General features: G+C 37.2%; 1 protein-coding gene and 1 pseudogene across 1 annotated transcript in view; one reads left to right on the forward strand and one right to left on the reverse strand.

The window, feature by feature from the left end:
- PIGK (phosphatidylinositol glycan anchor biosynthesis class K) overlaps nucleotides 1-24048 on the reverse strand; it is a 130442-nt gene that overhangs the window by 96296 nt on the left and 10098 nt on the right. The window contains exon 3 of the mRNA NM_005482.3: nucleotides 21356-21447. Coding sequence (NP_005473.1) covers nucleotides 21356-21447 — 92 coding nt within the window. The remainder of the gene's footprint in view (nucleotides 1-21355; nucleotides 21448-24048) is intronic.
- Nucleotides 9534-10185, forward strand: LOC100421400 (alanyl-tRNA synthetase domain containing 1 pseudogene; annotated as a pseudogene).

Raw genomic sequence — 24048 nt, forward strand, 5'->3', positions numbered from 1 at the left:
CCTTTTTGCTTCCATAAGATATCACCCTGGTACATTACATTGATGACATTATGCTGATTGGATCCAGTGAGCAAGAACTGGCAAACACACTAGACTTATTGGTGAGACATTTGCATGCCAGAGGATGGGAAATAAATCCAACTAAAATTCAGGGACCTTCTACCTCAGTAAAATTTCTAGGGATCCAGTGGTGTGGGGCCTGTCAAAATATTTCGTCTAAGGTGAAGGATAAGTTGCTGCATTTGGCCCCTCCTACCACCAAGAAAGAGGCACAATGCCCAGTGGGCCTAACTGGATTTTGGAGGCAACACATTCCTCACTGGGGTGTGTTACTCCGGCCCATTTATTGAGTGACCTGAAAGGCTGCCAGTTTTGAGTGGGGTCCAGAACAGGAGAAGGCTCTGCAACAGGTCCAGGCTGCTGTGCAAGCTGCTCTGCCACATGGGCCATATGACACAGCAGATCCAATGGTGCTTGAGGTGTCAGTGGCAAGCAGGGATGCTGTTTGGAGCCTTTGGCAGGCCCTCATAGGTGAACCACAGCGGAGGCCTCTAGGATTTTGGAGCAAGGCCCTGCCATCTTCTGCAGATAACTATTCTCCTTTTGAGAGACAGCTCTTGGCCTGTTACTGGGCTTTGGTGGAAACTGAACATTTGACTATGTGTCATCAAGTCACCATGCGACCTGAACCGCCTATCATGAACTGGGTGCTTTCTGACCCATCCAGCCATAAAGTAGGTCATGCACAGCAGCATTCCATCATCAAATGGAAGTGGCATATACGTGATCAGGCTTGACCAGGTCCTGAAGGCACAAGTTAGTTACATGAGGAGGTGGCTCAAATGCCTATGGTCTCCACTCTTGCCACCCTGCCTTCTCTCCCCAAGCCTCCATGGATGGCCTCATGGGGAGTTCCCTATGATCAGCTGATGGAGGAAGAGAAGAGGAGGGCCTGATTCACAGATGGTTCTGCACAATATGTGGGCACCACCTGAAAGTGGACAGCTGCAGCACTACTGCCCGTCTAGGACATCCCTGAAGGACAGCGGTAAAGGGAAATCTCCCCAGTGGGCAGAACTTCGAGCAGTGCACCTGGTTGTGCACTTTGCATGGAAGGAGAAATGGTCCAATGTGTGACTATATACTGATTCATGGGCTGTAGCCAATGATCTGGCTGGATGGTCAGGGACTTGGAAGAAGCATGATTGGAAAATTGGTGACAAAGAAATTTGGGGAAGAGGTATGTGGATGGACCTGAGGGGTCAAAAATGTAAAGATATTTGTATCCCATGTGAGAGCTCAGCAATGGGTGACTTCAGCAGAGGAGGATTTTAACAATCAAGTAGATATGAGGACCCGTTCTGTGGACATCACTCAGCCTGTTTCCCCAGTCACCCCTGTCATCACCCAATGGGCCCATGAACAAAGTGGCTATGGTGGCAGGGATGGAGGTTACACAGGAGTTCAGCAACATGGATTTCCACTCACCAACGCTGACCTGGTTATGGCCACTGCTGAGTGCCCAATTTGCCAGCAGCAGAGACCAACACTGACCCCTCAATATGGCACCATTCCTCGGCATGATTAGGCAGCTACCTGGTGGCAGGTTGATTATATTGAACCTCTTCCATCACGAAAAGGGCAGTGGTTTGTCCCCACTGGAATAAACACTTACTCTGGATATGGGTTTGCCTATCCTGCACACAGTGCTTCTGCCAAGACTACCATCTGTGGCCTCACAAATGCCTTATCCACCGTCATGGTATTTCACACATCATCACCTCTGAACAATGCACTCAGTTTACGGCTAAAGAAGTGCAGCAGTGGGCTCGTGCTCATGGAATTCACTGGTCTTACCATGTTCCCCATCATCCTCAAGCAGGTGGATTGATAGAACAGTGGAATGGCCTTTTGAAGTCACAATTAAAACACCAACTAGATGGCAGAGTTCTCCCAAAGGCCATGTATGCTCTGAATCAGCATCCAATATATGGTACTGTTTCTCCCATAGCCAGGATTCACAGGTCCAGGAATCAAGGGGTAGATGTGGAAGTGGCACCACTCATCATCACCCCTAGTGATCCACTAGCAAAATTTTTGCTGCCTGTTCCTGCAACATTACGCTCTTCTGGCCTAGAGGTCTTACCTCCAGCAGGAGGAACACTGACACCAGGAGACACAACAATGATTCCATTAAACTAGAAGTTAAGATTGCCACCTGGACACTTTGGGCTCCTCCTACCTTTAAGTCAACAGGCTAATAAGGGAGTTACAGTGTCAGTTACAGTGACTGACCCAGACTATCAAGATGAAATCAGTCCACTACTCCACAACAGAGGTAAGGAAGAATATGCATGGAATACAGAAGATCCATTAGGGCATTTCTTAGTATTATCACGCCCTGTGATTAAGGTCAATGGGAAACTATAACAGCCCAATCCAGGCAGGAGTACAAATGGCCCAGACCCTTCAGGAATGAAGGTGTGGGTCACCTGTTGCGGGAAGTCAGGGACCCCAAACGGATGGACCGGCTGAAGCCATGGCAGAAGAATGTAGATTGTGAAGATTTTATGGACATTTTATTAGTTCCCCAAATTAATACTTTTATAATTTCTTATGCCTGTCTTTACTGCAATCTCTAAACATAAATTGTAAAGATTTCATGGACACTTATCACTTCCCCAATCAATACCCTTGTGATTTCCTATGTCTGTCTTTACTTTAATCTCTTAATCCTGTCAGCCGAGGAAGATGTATGTCGCCTCAGGACCCTGCACTAATTGCATTAACTGCACAAATTGTACAGCATGTGTGTTTGAGCAATATGAAATGTGGGCATCTTGAAAAAAGAACAGGATAACAGCAATTGTTCAGGGAATAAGAGAGATAACCTTAAACTCTGACCACTGGTGAGCCGGGCAGAACAGAGCCATATTTCTCTTCTTTCAAAAGCAAATGGGAGAAATATCGCTGAATTCTTTTTCTCAGCATGGAACATCCCTGAGAAAGAGAATATGTGCCTGGAGGTATAGGCTTATAAACAGCCCCCCCAGGTGCGCCTGTCTCTTATGTCGAAACTGCAGAGATGAAATATACTCCAGTCTCCCATAGCACTCCCAGGCTTATTAGGAAGAGGAAATTCCCACCTAATAAATTTTGGTCAGACCGGTTGATCTCAAAACCCTGTCTCCTGATAAGATGTTATCAATGACAATGGTGCCCGAAACTTCATTAGCAATTTTAATTTCACCTCGGTCCTGTGGTCCTGTGGTCCTGTGATCTCGCCCTGCCTCCACTTGCCTTGTGATATTCTATTACCCTGTTAAGTACTTGATGTCTGTCACCCACACCTATTCACACCCTCCCTCCCTTTTTGAAAATCCCTAATAAAAACTTGCTGGTTTTTGTGGCTTGTGGGGCATCACGGATCCTACCAACGTGTGATGTCTCCCCTGGATGCCCAGCTTTAAAATTTCTCTCTTTTGTACTCTGTCCCTTTATTTCTCAAGCCGGCCGATGCTTAGGAAAAATAGAAAAGAACCTATGTGATTATCGGGGCAGGTTCCCCGATAGTCACCCCACTAGGAAAAAAACCAAGACTTGTTAAGGTGCTTGCTGAAGGCAAAAGGAATACAGGATGTATAGTAAAAGAAAGTAGTCATCTATACCAGCTATGATCATGTGACCAGCTGCAGAAACAGGAACTGTAATTGTCATGAGTATTTCCTCCCTCTTTTGTTAAAAACATGATTGTGCATGTATACATTTGTACTTAGAAAATATCTTCAGTTTATTTCCTTTTTCCTTTATCATATGACATAAGATTTATTGACTTCATATCAGCATTTAAGTATTCTTAACTTTATACAACAGTACATTTGGGTTTGGGATTGATGTGTTTCCAGTTGTACAAAGGATAGTTGTATTATGTTAGGCAAAATTATGTTTTTAGGCAAAAGACTTATTATTGTCTTTATTTGAAGATTACATATAATCTCAGATGTGTATGGGTTCAAGTTGACAAGGGATAGACTTGTGATGGTTACTGAGTGTCAACTTGATTGCATTGAAAGATGCAAAGTATTGGTCCTGGGTGTGTCTGTGAGGGTGTTGCCAAAAGAGATTAACATTTGAGTCAGTGGGCTAGGAAAGGCAGACCCACCTTTAACCTGGGTTAGTACCATCTAATCAGCTGCCAGGGTGGCTAGAATATAAAGCAGACAGAAAAACATGAAAGACTAGACTGGCCTAGGCTCCCAGCTGACATCTTTCTCCCATGTTGGATGCTTTCTGCCCTCAAACATTGGACTCCAAGTTTCAGTTTTGGGACTTGGACTGGTTCTCCTTGCTCCTCAGCTTGCAGACAGCCTATTGTGGGACCTTGTGATTGTGTGAGTTAACAATAAACTCATATATATATATATATATATATATATATATATATATATATATATATATATATATACACACACACACACACACACACACACACAGATATACAGATATACATATACGTATATGTATATTTGATTAGTTCTGTCCCTCTAGAGAACCCTAATACAACTCAGTATGTCTCAAGTATTGCAGTCATAAAATAAGCACATTACAAGCATTATCTCATACACTATTTTTATGAGCTATATGTTATTATCATCTCCATTTTACAGGTTATGTGATGGAAGCACACACATGCCCCAGGTCACACAGCTAGCAAGTAGTGGCGTTTGAATTCAAACCCAGATTTGTCTGACATGAACGTCTGCTTTTAATAACTTTGCATTATGCTGAAACTAAGAGAACTGCCATTTGAAAGCATTTAATAGCCGGGCATAGTGGCTCATGCCTGTAATCTTGACACTTTGGGAAGCTGAGGTGGGAGGATCGTTTGAGGCCAGGAGTTCAAGACCAGCCTGGGCCACTTGGTGAGACTCCATCTCTACCAAAAAAAAACAAAAAACAAAAAAAAATTAGCTGATTGTGATATCGCATGGCTGTAGTCCTAGCTACTCAGGAGGCCGAGGCGGGAGGACTGCCTAAACCCAGGAGATCGAAGTTACAGTGAGCTACGATCATGCCATTGCACTTTAGCCTGTGCAACAGAGCAAGACCTTGTCTCAAAAAAAAGAAAAAGAAAAAGAAAAAAGGATTTAATGATATGTTTTTGTCTTAAATTGATAATGGACTCTGACGATTAGGTTAGATACATGACCTCATCATTGCTGTTTAATATTTATGGCACATAATTAAAATAAAACAGGCTCTTGAAATTCTAAATCAAACCATCCAGAGACCTGAGTAAAAATTCTCAAAGAACAGCACTAGAGCATATAATTTCACCTGTAAATGTAGTAAGATACAAATGAAAAATCTCAGTGCCTCAATTGTAAAACTAAGATAACAGAACTTCAAAGAGATAAAGAGGCTAATATTCTAGACAGTCTCCAATTAATTCCCCAAAGCCCCTGACTCATTTCTACAGAGAGGTATTGGGGCTGCATCCTGCTGCTGGTTCTTAGCCATCAGTTCTTTTCAGCCACCAGGACTGCCACTTTCACTCTCAACCATGTGTACCAGTAGCCTACACCTTAAATCTTCACTGCTTCACCTCTACCTTCAAATATTCCCCAATGTTAATCAGTCTTCCAATAGCAGGAGAGGGGGCAAACAGCACAGCCACCTCACCGTTCCCTTCCCCATTCCTCTCAGGATGAAAATCAGTACAGCGTTGACAAGTTCTCCATCTCTTTCTTCCTGTTTTCCATTGCTTAACTCCCCACTAATTAGTTTACTAACTTACTAAAGCACACAAACCTCAGGCTTATAATTCAAATCTGTGCATTACATTACCAAAATTACAAGTTACTATCTTTCTGATCATTTTGGATGGCTCACAGAAATAGTCAAAATCAAGAGTGTTGTAGTCATGAATGTCACTGATCTAGCGTAACTTTCTTTTTGCTAAAATGTATAGGACAAAATTTTTTAAAATCTTCATACATTGCATACAGTCTATCATAACTTAAACTACTATGTGCAATCTTTCACATATTCTCACGTTCAACAGAAATTTTACTTTTGTTATTTTTCCAATAATGATCTGTACTGACTTAGTCAGTCTCCCTAACTAAGCTACTATAATAAAAGTATTTTGGAACCTTGCTTAGCACCAAAAGATTTTAACAGTCTACATCTAACCTCTTTAGAGTGCTGCAAGCAATTTCCTAGGACTTGACCACATCCTGAATTATACATTTTGCCTAAAAAATGTATGCAAACATCACTAATATGCCTTTTATGATACATTTCTAGCGTCAAATGGCAAGAAAATCAAAAGATCTGCTTAGTTTTCTCCAGGCGGAAAGCAAGATAACAAAGATATTCTTTTCATTAAAGAACTCAGATGTCTATTTTTCTTCTGAGCCATCACTTTTATCATTTTCTTAAAAATCTTTTGGCAATGGCCAGGCACAGTGGCTCATGCCTGTAATCCCATTACTTTGGGAGGCCAAGGTGGGCGGATCGCTTGAGCCCAGGAGTTTGAGACCAGCCCAGGCAACATGGCAAAACCCTGTCTCTACAAAAAATACAAAAATTAGCCAGGCATGGTGATACCTGAGTAACCTCCCACTCATGCTCAGGCCAAATTCTTAGAAACCATTAATATAAAACTCTGTGGAATATCTTCCTCCAAAGAAATCGAATTCTATTCACAAATGTTAATTTCACTTTTGTCCCAGCTACTCAGGAGATTGAGGCAGGAGGACTGCTTGTGCCCAGGAGGTCCAGGCTGCAGTGAGCCGAGACCGCGCCACTGCATTCTAGCCTGGGATACAGAGCAGGACCCTGTCTCAAAAAAAAAAAAATCTTTTGGCAAGGACTAAATATAGGGACACAACACTAGTCGTGAAGAGTACTTTGCCACTGCTCTGCTCTTCAGTTTGATCATAAAAGCCAACTAAGACAAAAATTAAAGGGAAAAAATATAGAATGAGGACTGTCACAGATGAAATCAAATTAATTAGAAGATATTAACAAATCTCAATTAAATGTAATTCAACAATACATACATTTTAAAAGCAATATAATGGTGTTCATTCTCATGAATTTGATTTAACTATTACACATTAAATTGTTCAGGCACTTACTTTATCAATATTTTAGATTCCACATTGCAATAAGATTATGGAAAAATAAAATTAAACTTTACGGAATAATGGAAACAAGATTACAGAATTAGCCAGCAAACTTCATTTTCAGGGAGTAGAAGAAAAAATTGGTTTAAACCAGTTTTCTACCATATTGAATAATATGGTAGAGATGACTTGTGAACACATATTTTTAGTAGATAACCACATTAAAAATAAAAGAGAAGGCAGAGTTCTGGATAAGAAACTTTTAAAATTTCTTCCACTTCTAACATAGAAGTAGTGATTAAAATTTAGTCACAACATGCTAGAGTTAATGGGTATAGAGTACAGGATGGTGGAAATAAATACAGAATAAGTCTTAAAATACATTTAGGACTAAAATACATTAGTCCTAAAAATAAGCTCTCTAATAAGATCTTTCTTGATTGTCCTTTGCTTCTTTTCTTTAGATATCCTGTATGGTGAAAAGTTGACAGGTTCTGATTAATATAGGTTTTACTTTCTAAAACCATATCTGAATTTCATGATTGGAAGGCTTAGAGATGGATACCACTTTAAATATATAAGTTAACAGACAGATGTAAGGATTTAACATCAGAGCACCTTTTACTGAATTGAGTAACTTCCCACTCATGCTTTGGCCAAATTCTTAGAAACCATTAATATAAAACTCTGTGAAATATCTTTCCTCCAAAGGAAGCAAATTCTTTTCACAAATGTTAATTTATCCTTTTAATTTCTTTTAAAGAGATATAACATAACACAGTAAGAACAGTTTCCATCAGACTGTTAGCTGACAGTGTGGCATGAGAATGTGTGTGTGTGTGTGTGTGTGTGTGTGTGTGTGTGTGTTTCTCCTAAGCTTTGTTCTTTCCGGTGACAACTCAGGTAGGAGGAAAAGAGAATTACAATGGCTGAGCAGAATATCCACCTTTGCGTAGAAGTTACATGCCACACTGGAGTTTGTGCCTTATGTAGCAACTCCATAAATACAGTTTTCAGGGTGTCTAAAAGGAACAGACTCAATTACAAGAATCATTGCACTCTGGAAAGCCCGAAGATATGTCTTTCTCCTCAGGCATTCATCATTTATTCATCCTAGTCCAGTTGTAGTCATCTAATGAATAAGGGAACATTTTTACCATAAGCAACATTGCCTGCCTTTGTCATATTTCCAAGGGAACAAAGTTAGAAAGCAAACACAAGTCAAATTCTTACACAGAAGGAAAGGGCTTTGTTAACCCTTTTCTATATCTTAATATTTATTCTAGTCATTATTTTTAATTGCAAGGAATCACTAAAGCTAGATCAAGAAAGAAGGATATACTATTCTGGACATAGGCCCTGGCAAAGATTTCATGACGCAGATACCAAAAGCAATTGCAACGAAAACAAAAATTGATAAATGGGACCTAATTAAAATAAAGAGCTTCTGCACAGGAAAAGAAACCATCAGCAGAGTAAACAATCTACAGACTGGGAGAAAATGTCTGCAAACTATGCATCTAACAAAGGTCTAATATCCAGAATCTATAAGGAGCTTAAAAAAATTAATGAGTAAAAAATAAACAACCTTATTAAAAACTGAGCAAAGGACATGAACAGACACTTCTCAAAAGAAGACAAACAGCCAACAAACATAGGAAAAAATGCTCAGCATCACTAATCATTAGAGAAATGCAACTCAAAACCACAGTAAGATACCATCTCATGCCAGTCAGAATGACTATTATGAAGTCAAAAAATAACATATGCTGGCAAAGTTGTGGAGAAAAGGAATGTTTATACACTGCTGGTGGGAATATAAATTGATTCAGCCACTGTGGAAAGCAGTTTGGAGATTTCTCAAAGAACTTAAACTACTATTCAACCTAGCAATCCCACTGGGTACATATTCAAAGGAATATAAGTCATTCTACTTTGCTGTTATATAAGGGATATATAATATCAACCTAGGTGCCCATAAATAGTGGATTGGATAAAGAAAAATGTAGTACATAACACCATGAAATACTACACAGCCATAAAAAAACACACAATTTTGCCCTTTGCAGCAACATGGATGAAACTAGAGGCTATTATCCTAAGTGAATTAATGCAGGAACAGAAAACCAAATGCCACATGTTCTCACTTATAAGTAGGAGCTAAACACTGGGTACACATGGACACAAAGAGGGAAACAACAGACACCAGAACCTATTTGTGGGTGGAGGGTGGGGGGAGGGTGGTGATCAAATAACTACCTATTAGGTACTATGTTTATTATCTGTGTGACAAAACAATTTGTACACCAAACCCTGTGATACACAATTTACCCATATAACAAATCTGCATATGTACCTCCTGAACCTAAAATAAACGTTGAAAAGAAAAAAAAAAAAAGACTCAGTGACCAGGTCATCAAGATTCTGGGCACTGAGAAACGGAAAAAGAACAAAACCAACCTGATATTTCGGACAGGGAACCAGGTGGTCAAATGGATGGACAGAAGTCATGGAACTGAAAAAGCACTGACTACTCCTGCTTAAGTGTGGAGCAGAGGATCACGTGGAAGCAGTGAAAAAGCTCCAAACTCCACCAAGCTCCTGCAGAAGAATAACCTGAATCTGCTCAGAGACCTGGCTGTGCACACTGCCCATAGCAGGAACAACCCAGACTGGTGAGGTGTGGTCATATTACACAGGAAGGAGGGTGATTCAGAGTTCATGAATATCATTGCCAATGAGATTGGGTCAGAGGAGACCCTCCTGTTCTTAACCGTGGGCGATGAGAAAGGTGCTGGACTTTTCTTACTGGCAGGGCGACCTGCAGCTGTGGAGACCTTGGGGCCCAGGGTGGCTGAGGTCCTGGAAGGCAAAGGAGCAGGGAAGAAAGGCTGTTTTCAGGGCAAGACCACCAAGTTGAGCCAGCGGGCGGAGGCACAGGCACTTCTCCAGGACTACATCAGCACGCAGAGTGCTAAGGAGTGAGAGCTTAGGGTGCTCACTTCCTGTTTCCACAGGAATCTTTTGGTCAATAAAATAGTTTGACTCAGAAAAAAAGAAAAGAATGACTATTAAAATGGCACACAGTTTTACGGAAATTCAAGAATAAGGCCTTACAGAGATTACAACTCAAAAGTAGTTCTAGATATATCAACATTAACAACTGGTGGAACTTCACGGGCTCCAGTATTTTGCCACTAATGTGCTAATGTGACTAGTTATTCTGCAAACATCTGCTTCTTTCTCCTTTCCCTGCTAATAGGCTTATTATTCCTGTGACGTCTGTACACAAGTCATCACTAAAAATGGCTCAACTTACAAACATCTACTTTTTATGACCTTTCATATATATACAGAATATATAGAATCTAGATATTTATATATCTATATATTTAAAGTATAAATATATACATTTTTTGACTTTTATTTTGCATTCAGGGGGTACATATGCAGGTTTGCTACATGGGTATATTGTGTAATGCTGAGGTTTGGGGTACTAATAATCCTGCTACCCAGGTACTAAGCATAGTATTCAATAGGTAGTTTTTCAGCCTTTGCCATTCCCCCCAACTCTAGAGGTCCCCAGTGTTTATTATTCCCATCTTTATGTGCATGTGTACTCAATGCTTAGCTCTCACACTTATAAGTAAGAACATGTAGTATCTGGTTTTCTGTTCCTGCATTAATTCACTTAGTAAAATGGCCTCCAGCTGTACGCATGTAGCTGGAAAGGACATGATCTTTGTTCTTTTTATGGCTGCATAGTATTCCATGGTGTATATGTACCACATTTTCTTTATCCAGTCCAATGTTGATGGGCATGTAGGTTTATTCTATGTCTTTGCTATTGTAAACAGTGCTGCAATGAAAATATGAGTGCATGTGTCTTTATGGTAGAACAATTTATATTCCTTTGGGTAGGTGCCCAATAATGGGATTGGTGGGTCAAATGGTAGTTTAAGTTCTTTGACAAATCTCCAAACTACTTTCCACCGTAACTGAACTAATTTACATTCCTACCAACAGTGTAAATGTGTCCCCTTTTCTCTGCAGCCTTGCCAACATCTTTTATTTTTTGACTTTTTAAGTCATTCTGACTGGTGTGAGATGGTATCTCACTGTGGTTTTGATTTGCATTTCTCTAGTAATTAGTGATGTTGAGCACCTTTTCATGTTTTTTGGCCGTTTGTATGTCTTCTTTTGAGAAGTGTCTGTTTATATCCTTTGCCCAGTTTTTAATGGGGTTATTTGGTTTTTGCTTGTTGAGTTGTTTATGTTCCTTATAGATTCTAGAAATTAGACCTTTATCAGATGCACAGTTTGTAAATATTTTCTCCCACTCTGTAGGTTGTCCGTTTACTCTGTTGATAGTTTCTTTTCCTGTGCAAAAGCTCTTTATTTTAATTAGGTACAACCTGTCAACTTTTATTTTTGTTGTAATTGCTTTTGAGGACTTAGCCATGAATTATTTGCCAAGGCCAGCATCCAGAATGGTATTTCCTAAGTTTTCTTCTAGAATTTTTAGTTGGAGATCTTACATTTATATCTGTAATCCATCTTGAGTTAATTTTTGTATATGCCTTTTTATGATCTTTCTAATGATATTTAACACTCTCACAGTAATAATAAAACTAGTATTTGGCATCATTAAATTAATGCCAAGTAAGTTAATGCTAAACCAATGCAATCAACGTAATTAGAAAACATGATAGGCTGATTCAGGAGATTATATAATGAAGCAAAGGAGAACAAAGCTGGGAATTACAGCTGGGCCAGCCAACCAAAAATATTCACCCCTTTTAAGTATTGTTTCCCCTCTAAGTATTGTTACAGATGAAAAAACTAAGGCCAAGAGAGATTAATTTTTCCAAGATCAAAAAATGAATAGTGACATTCTCAGGCTATTTCCAGGTTTACTGAAGGCCTGATGATACAGGAAGAAGTAAAACATGTAAACATGAACCTCAGGCACAGCGAAGAATTGTCTTACGTAATAATAGGTAGAACTTCAGGTGACAAAGCAGTTGTTCTACAGACTATTCTGAATTCCTCTGCCCTGTCTGATTTCTTACTCTCTGCAGGCTGTGCCAACTGCTAAACTTCACAATCACCACAGTGAGAAACAAGGGAAGTAGAGAGGCAATGCAGCCACTCATGTTCTCGTCACATATATGCTTTGTATTACTTCTTTGTTGGTTTGATAGTAATCTGAGTAAAAGCAACTTAAGTAAAGTCATCATTTTTGCCCATCTCTGAAGCAAGGCTAAACTTTGTGGTCTGGCCTAACTCACTAACAGAACCATGATTTAAACTAAAGTAGTCTGATTCTGGGGCTTATATTCTGAAACACTATTAACTGCCTCCCATCTAAGTTGTCATATTCTTATGTTTACACAATCCTTGAAAGCACCTGAATTTTAAACTAGTTTATAATTTATTTTAAAGCAACCATTAAACAAAGTTATTTAACAAAGCCATCACAGGAAACCAAGTTTTTGTACATTATGACATAAATATTAGATATAAGACACCAATAGGTTCACCTTATTAGGAATACCAAAGTGAAAATAAAAATAGTTTGCTGAGTTATCCTCAAATGGAAATAAATAGCTCTAAAGAAAGCTTATTAAAGGAAAAAGCTCTGAAGATAGGCTACTGTAATTTTGGTAAAGTTATTAGATTATTTATTAGTAAATCAAATAAAAATTATCATGCAGACATCAATTTCATAAAGCATATTGGCATTTATCTTTATTTTCAATGAATTGCTTTCATTTATCCTTTTTCTTTATTATTACATTTATTTACACTGATGAATTTGGCAACATAGTATAATATAATCTCAATACCCAATTCTAGTATTAGGTCTGCCACTATGCAGCTGTTAACTGTAAACATCACGTTACCTCTCAATAATACATTTTTCTCATGTATAAAATAAAGAATTTATCTGCACTATTAGTTTTGAGGTCTTTAAAGATTACTTTTATTCCAAATTTTTTAAATATGAAAAGCTTTTGAAGATTAAAGAATGTTTTAAAGGTACAAAGATTTGAAAGGATGAAAACTCATTGTTTGAAGATTTTATGGCTATCAAAAATAAAAATTTATAGTCAATTATTAGAATTAATAGGAGTTTAGCAAGTTGCTAGAACAATATATAAAAATCAACTGCATACACAGCAACAGAAGTTAGAAAATGTATTTTTGGAAAGGTACCATTTACAATAATAACAAAAAATAAGATAACTTTAAAAAGCTACCAAAGATGTTTATGGAGAAAAATTAAAAAATTATAAAACTTGAATGCTATTAAACCCGTAATTAAATAGATAAACCTTATTCATAAATTGAAAGACTTAATACCAAAAAGAAGCCCCTTCTCTCTAAATTAATCTATAAACTCACTGCAATGCCAATGAGAATCCTAACAGGGATTAAGAACTTGACAAACCAATTCCAAAATTAATATGGAAGAACAAGACCTAAGAATAGGCAAGACCATTCTAAAAAAGAATAAAGCCAAGGAAATGAAGTTAACAGATATAAAGATAGTGACAGTAGTAAAGACATTGTGGTATTGGTGAAGGAATAAGCATCTTTCTCTTCAGTATCAAAATCTTCCTATCTATTTACAAATCAATAAAGAAATTTCCCCTATGCTTCATAAACCCCATTCATGGTCTTGTTAGACTTGCAAATTGGTCCTACATATGATCTAAACATAAGAGCATCAAGGTAGTGGCCAAACTTCTCCTTTTACCTTGTCACTGTTCTCCTCAGAACACATTTCAACTTCCTAACTATTCTAAGTGTTTCTCTATTCAAGATATTATACACTTCTCCACAAGGAACATCATGTAGAGTGGCAGATCAGCTGCCAATATGTGAATAAAATGACAGATTGTTCAGAATACATAAGTATACTTATTCAAACACTATTATTTATATTTTTAGGAAGTATTTTAGAAAAAACTGTTGAGAAGTGATAGGAGACAAGAGAAGAACATTCAAAGGCATGAGTTAAAATTATCTTCACAATAACTATGATTGTACATTGCAAATTATTTACAAAACTTATTGCAGGATGGAAAAATCCTTTTGTTCATAAAAAATGAGACAAAATCACCAAATATGATTATCAATATATTAAAATAACATAAAATAGTAATATAATAAATGTAAAATACATTTAGAAATTTTAATAAATGAATTGTAATGGCATAAAAATAAAATCAGTGACCACCCTAATCAGAGCAATCTATGAAGTTCTACACACAGGGAAACAAAGGAACAAAAGATATTTAGATAGAAAAGAACACAAGATATTCTAGGTTTTCTAGGTTCCACAGCATTTACTTATATCACAGCTATCTTCTCCCCAAGAATTACAACAGTTAATATTCATGTAACATTTACAATTAGAAAATTATTTTAATATACATTATCTCATTTTATTCCTATGACACTATACAGATTGGTATAATTATGTGCACTCATCACTAAAATACCTTATTAAATTCTAGGTGTGCTAAATCACCAAAAACAGAAATGAAAGTAACCATGTAGTAGTTGTCACAACAAATCAACAAATGAAAATATTGAGTTGGAATTAATAAAGTAGTTAAGGCCTGAAGCCTGGATGAAAATTTTGGATTTGTTAGAAAGGCAACAGAGTTACTGCAGGTTCTTAATTGTGGAAGTGAAAAGATGAAAGCAGTGTCTGAGAAATAATTCTAACAGTTATGTGTAGGATGAGTTGGAGGGGGAAAGGGACTAGAAGCAGGGAATAAACAGCTACAAAAGGGTTGAAGTACAGAAGCACGTACCATAGCTACAATGTATATTGAAGTACATGAATACTGAAGAAGCATGAAGTACATGAAGCATGAAATAATAAAGTCTTAGACAAAAGTAAAAATAAAAATATGAAAAAAGTAAGAAAATGATAAAATCAGAGAAGCATTTCTTATATTTATTTAATATTAACTATTTTTGCACACCCCCTAGTCACCACATTCAACATATACACATTTTAGAATTTAATAAGGTATTTAATGATGAGTATGCATAATTATACTAATATCTATAGACTGTCATAAGAATAAAATGAGACAATGTATATTATATACATTTTAGAATAAGGTATTTAATGAGTGTGCATAATTGTAGTAATATCTATAGATTGTCATAAAAATAAAATCAGACAATGTATATTAAAAGAATTCATTCATTATAAATGTTACACAAATATTAATTGTTTTAATTTCTTGGGGAGAAGACAGCTGTGCTAAAACAGTAATGCTCTGGCCATAAAGTCAGAAGACCTGAATTCAAATTGTGATCCTATTTTTATTAATATTTAATTGACCTTAAGCAAGTCATTTAACCACTCTGAGCAACCATTTTTAGTATGTAAAATGTGAAAAAACAATCTCTCATAAAGGTCTCAAGGAATAAATAAAATAATTCATTATAAAATTCCTAACACAGTCTCTGAATTATGGTGGATAGTGAATGTGTATTACAAGAGAGGGAGGGGAATCCATTTTGGCAGCTGTTATTGAACAGAAAGCCACAAGTATTTTTAAAGAAGCATTTTAAGGAATTACCATACAGTAAGATTGCTAAACAGCTTATTAACGCTCCACTTCAAACAATGTCCTCTTACGTATAAGGCCAAATCCACAGCAGCATAAAGAGCAATAGGCAAAAGCTATATGATCAACATGATTTAAAAAACAACAATAACAAAAATTAGTGACTTTTTCTACTTACAGAAACATTACCAGAATTTACATAACTGACCAAATAGCTCCTACTTCTAATTCTAATATTTATTAACTGGGAAAGAAGTTAAAAGGGACAAAAGACAAAAAGGAAACAAATGCATCCTGAAGGAACTTAAATGGTAATACATAAGGTCAAGGGTGACTTGTTTTGGGCAAGACTCTTACGGATTTCTGATAGAAATAAATCAATTGAAGTGCCCTGGTAAGATTGCCCCAGCCATAGATCCCTCAAGAATAAGTTAGAAGACAGTTCACAAAAATCAACTATAGCTGGGCACAATGGCTCAAGCCTGTAATCCCAGTAGTTTGAGAGGCCAAGGTGGGTGGATCACTTGAGGCCAGGAGTGTGAGACCAGCCTGGCCAACGTGGCAAAACCTTGTCTCTATTAAAAATACAAAAACACACCTGAAATCCCAGCTACTCAGGAGGCTGAGGCACAAGAATCCTTTGAACCTGGGAGGCAGAGGTTGCAGTGAGCCAAGGTTGCTCCACTGCACTCCAGCCTGGGGTACAGAGCAAGGCTCTGTCTCAAATATAAAAAACAAGAAAAAAAAATCTACTATAGCTCAGCACAGTGGCTCAGTGCCTGTAATCCCAGCACTTTGGGAGGTCAAGGTGGGAGGATCACTTGAGCTCAGGAGTTCAAGAACAGCCTGGGCACCATTGTGAGACATCAACTCTACAAAAAAATTAAAAAATTAGCCAGGCATGGTGGTGCGCACCTGTAGTTCCAGCTACTTGGGAGGCTGAGGAGGGAAGATCACTTGAGCCCAGGAGGTTGAGGCTGCAGTGAGCCGTGTTTGTGTCACTGTAACCCACCCAGGGCAATGGAGTGAGACAATCAAAAAAAAAAAAATACCTGACTAAAAACAACCAGACTATACAGCACTGTTAGCTCAGTGGGGGTTGAGAAACAAGATTAAGAGAATATAAGTAAATGGTATTCATAAAAGTTTCCTTTCTCGTCTAGACTAATGAGGTTCTACTTAGCTATGGGTCTTTAGCACACTATTCATTCACTCATTCACTCTGCAACAACATACCAAAGAATGCACTGTGAGAAATACATAGTATAACATCCAGCCTTGAAGATATAAGATCAACACATGTAACAAAGTGCCAAAAGAGAGGCACAAATACAGTATTTATGCAAGAAAGACCCAGAAAGCTTTAGGGAATTCATGGATTGAATCTGGACATCAGAAAACTAGAGGGGAAGGAGAAAGAAAAGAACTGTAGGTGAGCGACCAGTGCAAGGTAATGAAGGACAATACAGTGACTAGGAAGAAAATGGCTGGAGCGTAAGAGACTGAAACTGAAAGATCAGAATGTCAGATTTGGAATCAGACTGCAAAAAGTCTTCAGTACCAGGATAAGTGATTTGAACTTTATTCTAAATACTCTAAAAAGCTTTGAGTAAGAGGAAATAAAGAATAAAAGTTTTAAATTAGGAAGATTAATCTCACAAAAGACTGAAATACAGAATAAGAAAAAAAACAGTGTTAGATGGACTCAGAAAAGCTATTGGATTTTATAGAAACAATGCATCAGACAGGGATCACTACATAAACTCACATCCACCCAACCTGTAGTAGAGCTAAATTGTATTTTTAAATACATTATATAGACATTTTACTCTGTGAACTAAATCTTTTGCACTCAGCCAAAAGAGCGTGACAGAGACAGATTATGTCTCTCAATCTAATACTAAATGCATTTATTCCCTAGAGTAAACAGGAATGGGAGCTATGATTCTACATTCCCTCAGTCAGCCTCAATTCCCATGTGCTTCGCAGAGCATGGAGAACACAATTCTAGTGTTAAAGATATGTATATTTTTTCATAAACATGGCTCTAATCATAAGTAAACCACTTTATTCACTGTGCAAACGAAGAAAATAGTAATAGCACTGGAGGAAAAACTAGCTGTGGTAGACTTGATGAAAGACAATACTAAACTGCAATTTATGTGCTATTTGGGAAACTTTCAGGAGTGATTGTGGCTCAATGTTTGCTTCACATACTAACCTTAGAACCTAACCCCTACTTAATGCCTTTTCTTCATCTTAATCATACTAAACATACTGAAGGTAGCTAAACAGGGATTTAGTCCAAAACAATTATTTGAGGGCAGAAAATTCCCTAAAAATAATGAAACATTTTAGGAAGCTAAAACCAGGCAAATAAAAACATAATCTCCATAAGGTTAGAGATTTGTGTGGGTACAAAGTACAAAAACCTCACCTGCATGGAACTTAGATAAGAAACTGGTCATACTCGAGCTACAGAGCACTTATGAGGGTCTTATGAGTGTATCTTTGCATTTTCTCCCAGAACCATAATAACCCTTTTCCCTGAGTCAATATTTTCAAATATTAGAAAATTCTGGCAACCTATTTATTAAAATATCTTTAATATCATACTAACATTTTCTAATGCTGGGGGAAGTCAGGGACCCCGAACAGAGGGACCAGCTGAAGCCACAGCAGAAGGACATAAATTGTGAAGATTTCATGGACATTTATTAGTTACCCAAATTAATACTTTTATAATTTCTTACACCTGTCTTTACTGCAATCTCTGAACATAAATTGTGAAGATTTCATGGACATTTATCACTTCCCCAATCATTACTCTTATAATTTCCTATGCCTGTCTTTAGTTTAATCTCTTAATCCCATCATCTTGGTAAACTGAGGATGTATGTTGCTTCAGGATCCTGAGATGATTGTGCTATCTGCACAAATTGTTTGTAGAGCATGTGTGTTTGAACAATATGAAATCTGGGCATCCAAAAGGAATACAATGGCTGCGATTTTCAGGGAAGAAGGGAGATAACCTTGTTATCTCCTGACTAGGGCCTGACTGCCTAAGGGGCCAGACAGAACAGAGTCATATTTTTCTCCTTACAAAAGTGAATAGGAGAAATATTGCTGAATTGTTTTTCTCAGCAAGGAACAGCCCTGAGAAAGAGAATGCATTCCTAGGGAGAGGTCTCTAAAATGGCCACTCTGGGAATGTCTGTCTTATACGGTTGCAGATAAGGGATGAAATAAGCCCAGTCTCCTGTAGCGCTCCCAGGCCTATTAGGATTAGGAAATTCCTGCCTAGTAAATTTAGGCAGACTGGTTGTCTGCTCTCAAACCCTGCCTCCTGATAAGATGTTATCAATGATAATGCGTGCCCAGTGGGACATGAAACTTCATCAGCAATTCTAATTTCACCCTGGTCCTGTGATCTCACTCTGCCCCCATTTGCCATGTGATATTTTATTGCCCTTGAAGCATGTGATCTCTGTGACCCACACCCTATTCGTACACCCCTTCCCTTTTGAAATCCATAATAAAAACTTGCTGGTTTTGCGGCTCAGGGGGAATCATAGAACCTGCCGACATGTGATGTCTCCCCTGGACATCCAGCTTTAAAATTTCTCCCTTTTGTACTCTTTCCCTTTATTTCTCAGACCGGCCGACACTTAGGAAAAATAGAAAAGAACCTACGTTGAAATATCAGGGGCTGATTCCCCTGATATTCTAACACTAGACTAACAAAATTTAGGGGATATAAATATTTTACTTTTAAAATACAAACTGTGTTTGCTTTGCACAACTGATAAAATATTTCCAAATCATACATTTATTTATTTACCCAATACTAGCTGAGCAGAATCTTTTCTATTGATTTCTATTTATTAAATAACAAATGGCTTAAATCACCAACTGTTTAAATCCTTAATTACCCCACTACAAAGACTTCATAAACACAGTTATAGATAAGCAATTATTTGAAACAGAAATAAGCTTTTAAATAACATTCTTCAGAAACCTAAGGACAAACCTACTAAACATAATATACAAAATACATCCTATTGCTATTGTCTATTCCTAAAAACTCCTTCCAAATCTAACTTAAATCATTTAAATATATCTTAATGATTGACTCATAGAAGAAAGATTAATTTACCAAAGAAAAACTATTGCCAAGCCATGCATAGTGATTCTCTAGAAGAGTATATCCAGTATAGACGCAAGAGCCGTTAAAGACCAAAAGCTAACTACATAGGCCTATTTGAGAAAAACCAATTGACAAATGACAAGAATTATATCTATACACTTGATATAACAAATCAACCTCCTTCTCAGACTTAATGTAATTTTAAAATAGTAATATTATCTAGTTGCCATGATTTCCAGATGAAATATGGAAATTATAGTTTTGTCAGTTACTCAGACTGAAATGATCTATTCACAAAGACTGTAATATAACTTTGTTTCCTCAGTCATTCACTGCTTCCTTTCTGTTCCTGCAGCACTTTATGCATAACTCTTATTTGTTTTTACTGGAAGTACTTGAATCCTGAAAGAAGGTACTATTATTACCATGTAACAAATGAGAAACAAGCTTATTATGGTAAAGTGACTTAAAGAAAAATCACCATTAAAGCCAGATTTCAAAGTCATATCTAACTACAAGGCTCTTTCCACACTGACTCACTGGTACTAAATAAATCAAACCTAAATAACTGAATTGACTACAGTTTCTTGCTATAGCTGCTTTGGTAGTAGGAAAAACAAATCTATCATGGACAAAACAATGTAGAAGACATGCTCTGAGTGAAGGTGTGGGGATACCGCCTATTACCTAAACTCACTCCCTACAAGTAGGAAAATTCCCACTTTACGAGTCTTCATATAAAGCAAAGCCCACCTTCCTATATAGAGGCTAATAATGCCATATACTAGCTCTTCCAGTCACCCTGCAGCACAGACATGGGTGCTGAACCTAGACTTTACCAATATAACATTCCCACCAAGACCTCTATAAGAGAGACAGTAAGAAGTTGGGACAGCAAAGTTCAAATTTTGGCAGCAGGAGGCAATAGCAACATTAAGTTTCAAAAGGAAACAAACAGTAGCAGCTATGCAGTAGCTGAGTCTAGGCTTCAGCAATTTGCAGCTCCATTATTGTCACCAGACTGTTTTAGGTCATTTTTTTGCTATGTCTCTTCTAATATCTAGGCTTCCTTGTTCCTGGCTATTAAAGGATACAACCTTCTCACTAATTTGGCAAGGTAATCAATATGCTTTCAATAAATCCCTTTTCCACTTGAATCAATCAGAATTGCACTCCATTATCTGCAATTAAAAACCCTGACTGAGCCATTTACTAATTAAATACATTACACTAAATAATTATATTTTATCCAATCTTTTTACCTTAGCATTTGTTCTTTTATATAATTTGTCATTATGGTCTTAAGTAACATCTAATTTATACATGGTAGTATGCTCTAATGAGAACAAAAAATCTTCAAATCAGATTTTTTTTTTTACCTTTTTCAAAAGTAACACAAAATACAAATATAATAACAATTATCTAAGGGTTATTTTCACTGAAGTTCAAGGTTAAGCTTTATTAAGGCTTCTTACCTGTCAGGAATACCTAGCCTCTTGACACTTCTATAAACAGAAAGGGTATTTGCAACATGTCGATAATTAAACCAGAATCGGGATGTACACACCTGAAGTATTAAAACAAAAACAGAATTTTTATGCATCAAGGCTAACCATGGAGCTGCAGAGTATTTTTCTTTAAGTAGGATACAGAGATCTCTAAGAAACAGTATGCCATAATTCAGGCTTTAAAACAGCAAACACAAAAAATTGTCAGTAAAGGCCAGGCACAGTGGCTCATGCCTGTAATACCAACACTTTGGGAAGCCCAGGCGGGAAGATCACTTGGGTCCAGGAGTTCGAGACCAGCCTGGCCAACATGGCAAAACCCCACCTCTACTAAAAATACAAAAATTACCCAGGTGTGGTGGCGTGCACCTGTAGTTGCAGCTACTTGGGAGGCTGAGGCATGAGAATCGCTTAAACCTGGGAGGTGGAGGTTGCAGGGAGTGGAGATGGCACCACTGCACTCCAGCCTTGTCGACAGAGCAAGACTCTGTCTCAACAAAAAAAGAATTGTCAGTAAAACTAATCGCTCCAAAGAGAAGTCTTTCATAACTAGTATTAGATTTTAAAAAACCATTCAGCTTAAGAGAAAGCATATCTTTGGGAAATTAAATCAAATACTGAACCAACTTAGTTATCACAATTTCTGTGACTCAGTAACATTCCTATTTCTAAAAAATTAAATTCTTTAGAATCAAAGACAATGCCCATAATTTCTTCACAGAATAGAGAAGAAAATTAGCTACATAGGGTTATACAATATTTGTTTCATTCCACATTGCTTCCTTTATTGTGAGAAACGTAGGACACAGGATAAAACATAACATATAAAACAGTTGTAAATGTACATAAGAGAGTGCATTATAAAGAAGCTATTGAACTCAAGAGAAAATTAGAAACAATCCAACCAAGTTTTATAGTTTAAAAAAATTCCTGAGAATTATATTAAAGGTGCTAGGAAAATCTAATTCCATGCCTCAAAAGTTAGTGTTGTTCAGAACCCATTCTAAGGTAGGTAAATATAGATTGGGGTCACTTGGTAATATATCTACCAAGTACAATCCCGGCTTCTATCACATGCCTGTGCCTTTAGTAGGTATAATGACAATTTTGAGAACAGCATAAGTGTTCTTGCCCCTGACAAACAGAAAGGAACTACATGGTTTTTTTTTAAATTAAGTTTTCAACCTAGAATCCAATCAGGAAAAGACTAAATTTTTGACTATATAAAAATGTAAAATTCCATATATCAAAAATATCATAAAATTCTAGCTGGACACAGTAGCTTACACCTATAATCCTAGCAGTTTGGGAGGCCAAGATGGAAGGATCACTTGAGGTTAGGAGTTAAAGAACGGCCTAGGCAACACAATGAGACCCCCATCTCTACAAAAAAAAATGTAAAATTTAGCAAGGAGTGGTAGTTTGTGGTTGTAGTTCTAGCTACTTGGGAAGCTGACGTGGGAGGATCACTTGAGCCCAGGAGTTCAGGGCTACAGTGAGCTATGATCACACCACTGCACTCCAGCCTGGGAGACAGTGCAAGACCTCATCTCCAAAAACTCCCTTTTTAATTTTAAAAAATAAAATATAATTTATTAAAGTTTCACTATACTAATATGTAAAATATTGGACAAAAAAAAGAAAACTGTAGTTGTAATACAATGCTCAGTAATGTTTCTTTTTCATCTTTTATTTTTTACCAGGTTACTGAAATTGAAGAGAGGTTTGGTTAGAGGTTTCCCAGAGCAAGGAAGGCTTTCATATGTGTGTCAGTATAAGCTAACAGTATTTTAGTTCCAAAAGATAAGCCCTTTGCAATTGGTGGTCTGCACATAGGCAGTTATTGCCTCTTGAACATGGAGGGGCTCCTAGTTTCCTGTAGAAAAAGTTTATCCTGTCAAATTGGTAGATGATGGCCTGGCTCCCAATAGTTCTCCTTACTTTTAAGTAGGCATTGAAATCCTCTCTCCTTATCTTTAGCAGTCTTTTCTCAGTAACTTCAGAAAAATTTCTTGTGAAGGGTAGCATATATAAGAGGTTTTTTTCTTGAAGAACAAGAAAATGAGCCATGGACCCATGTTACACTGTCCTATTTAATCACAATGCTATTACATTTAAAACAAACAAGTATAGAACTTGGAATCACCCTATTTACTTATAGGAACCTATAGATAATTCATTATCTATATTTTTATCAAATGTGTTTGTCAAATGATTCTCAATAAATTTACAAAGCCTCAAACTTCATTTGGCGTCAGTAAGTTAATTATAGTCTTGCATGTTTATTCTGCACTTTAAGCTGAATTCCTCTATCCATCTCCTTTACATTCCCACTATATTCTTACCATTTATAATCCCCAGTTTTCTTCCTTTTCCAACATGCATTACTGGCTTTGAGATGCTGTACATTCTCTGCTCCCTTTTTCACAAAATCAGCTTCCTTTCCTGCCTCTTTGAACCTATTCTCTATTTCCCCATTGTTTCTTCCAGTCCAATCCTTGTACATGTTTTTTCATTAAGTCAACATTATATTTTCTAATCATATAAATGCCATTAAATGAAACTCCAGTAATGAAACTATTATCCAAATATTTTCCAAGCATAGGAAAAACAAATTTGATTATGTGAATTCTGTTTGAGGAATTAAAACTACAAATTTC

The sequence above is a fragment of the Homo sapiens genome, chromosome 1 (genome assembly GCF_000001405.40).
Source record: "Homo sapiens chromosome 1, GRCh38.p14 Primary Assembly".
NCBI classification, from domain to species: domain Eukaryota; kingdom Metazoa; phylum Chordata; class Mammalia; order Primates; family Hominidae; genus Homo; species Homo sapiens.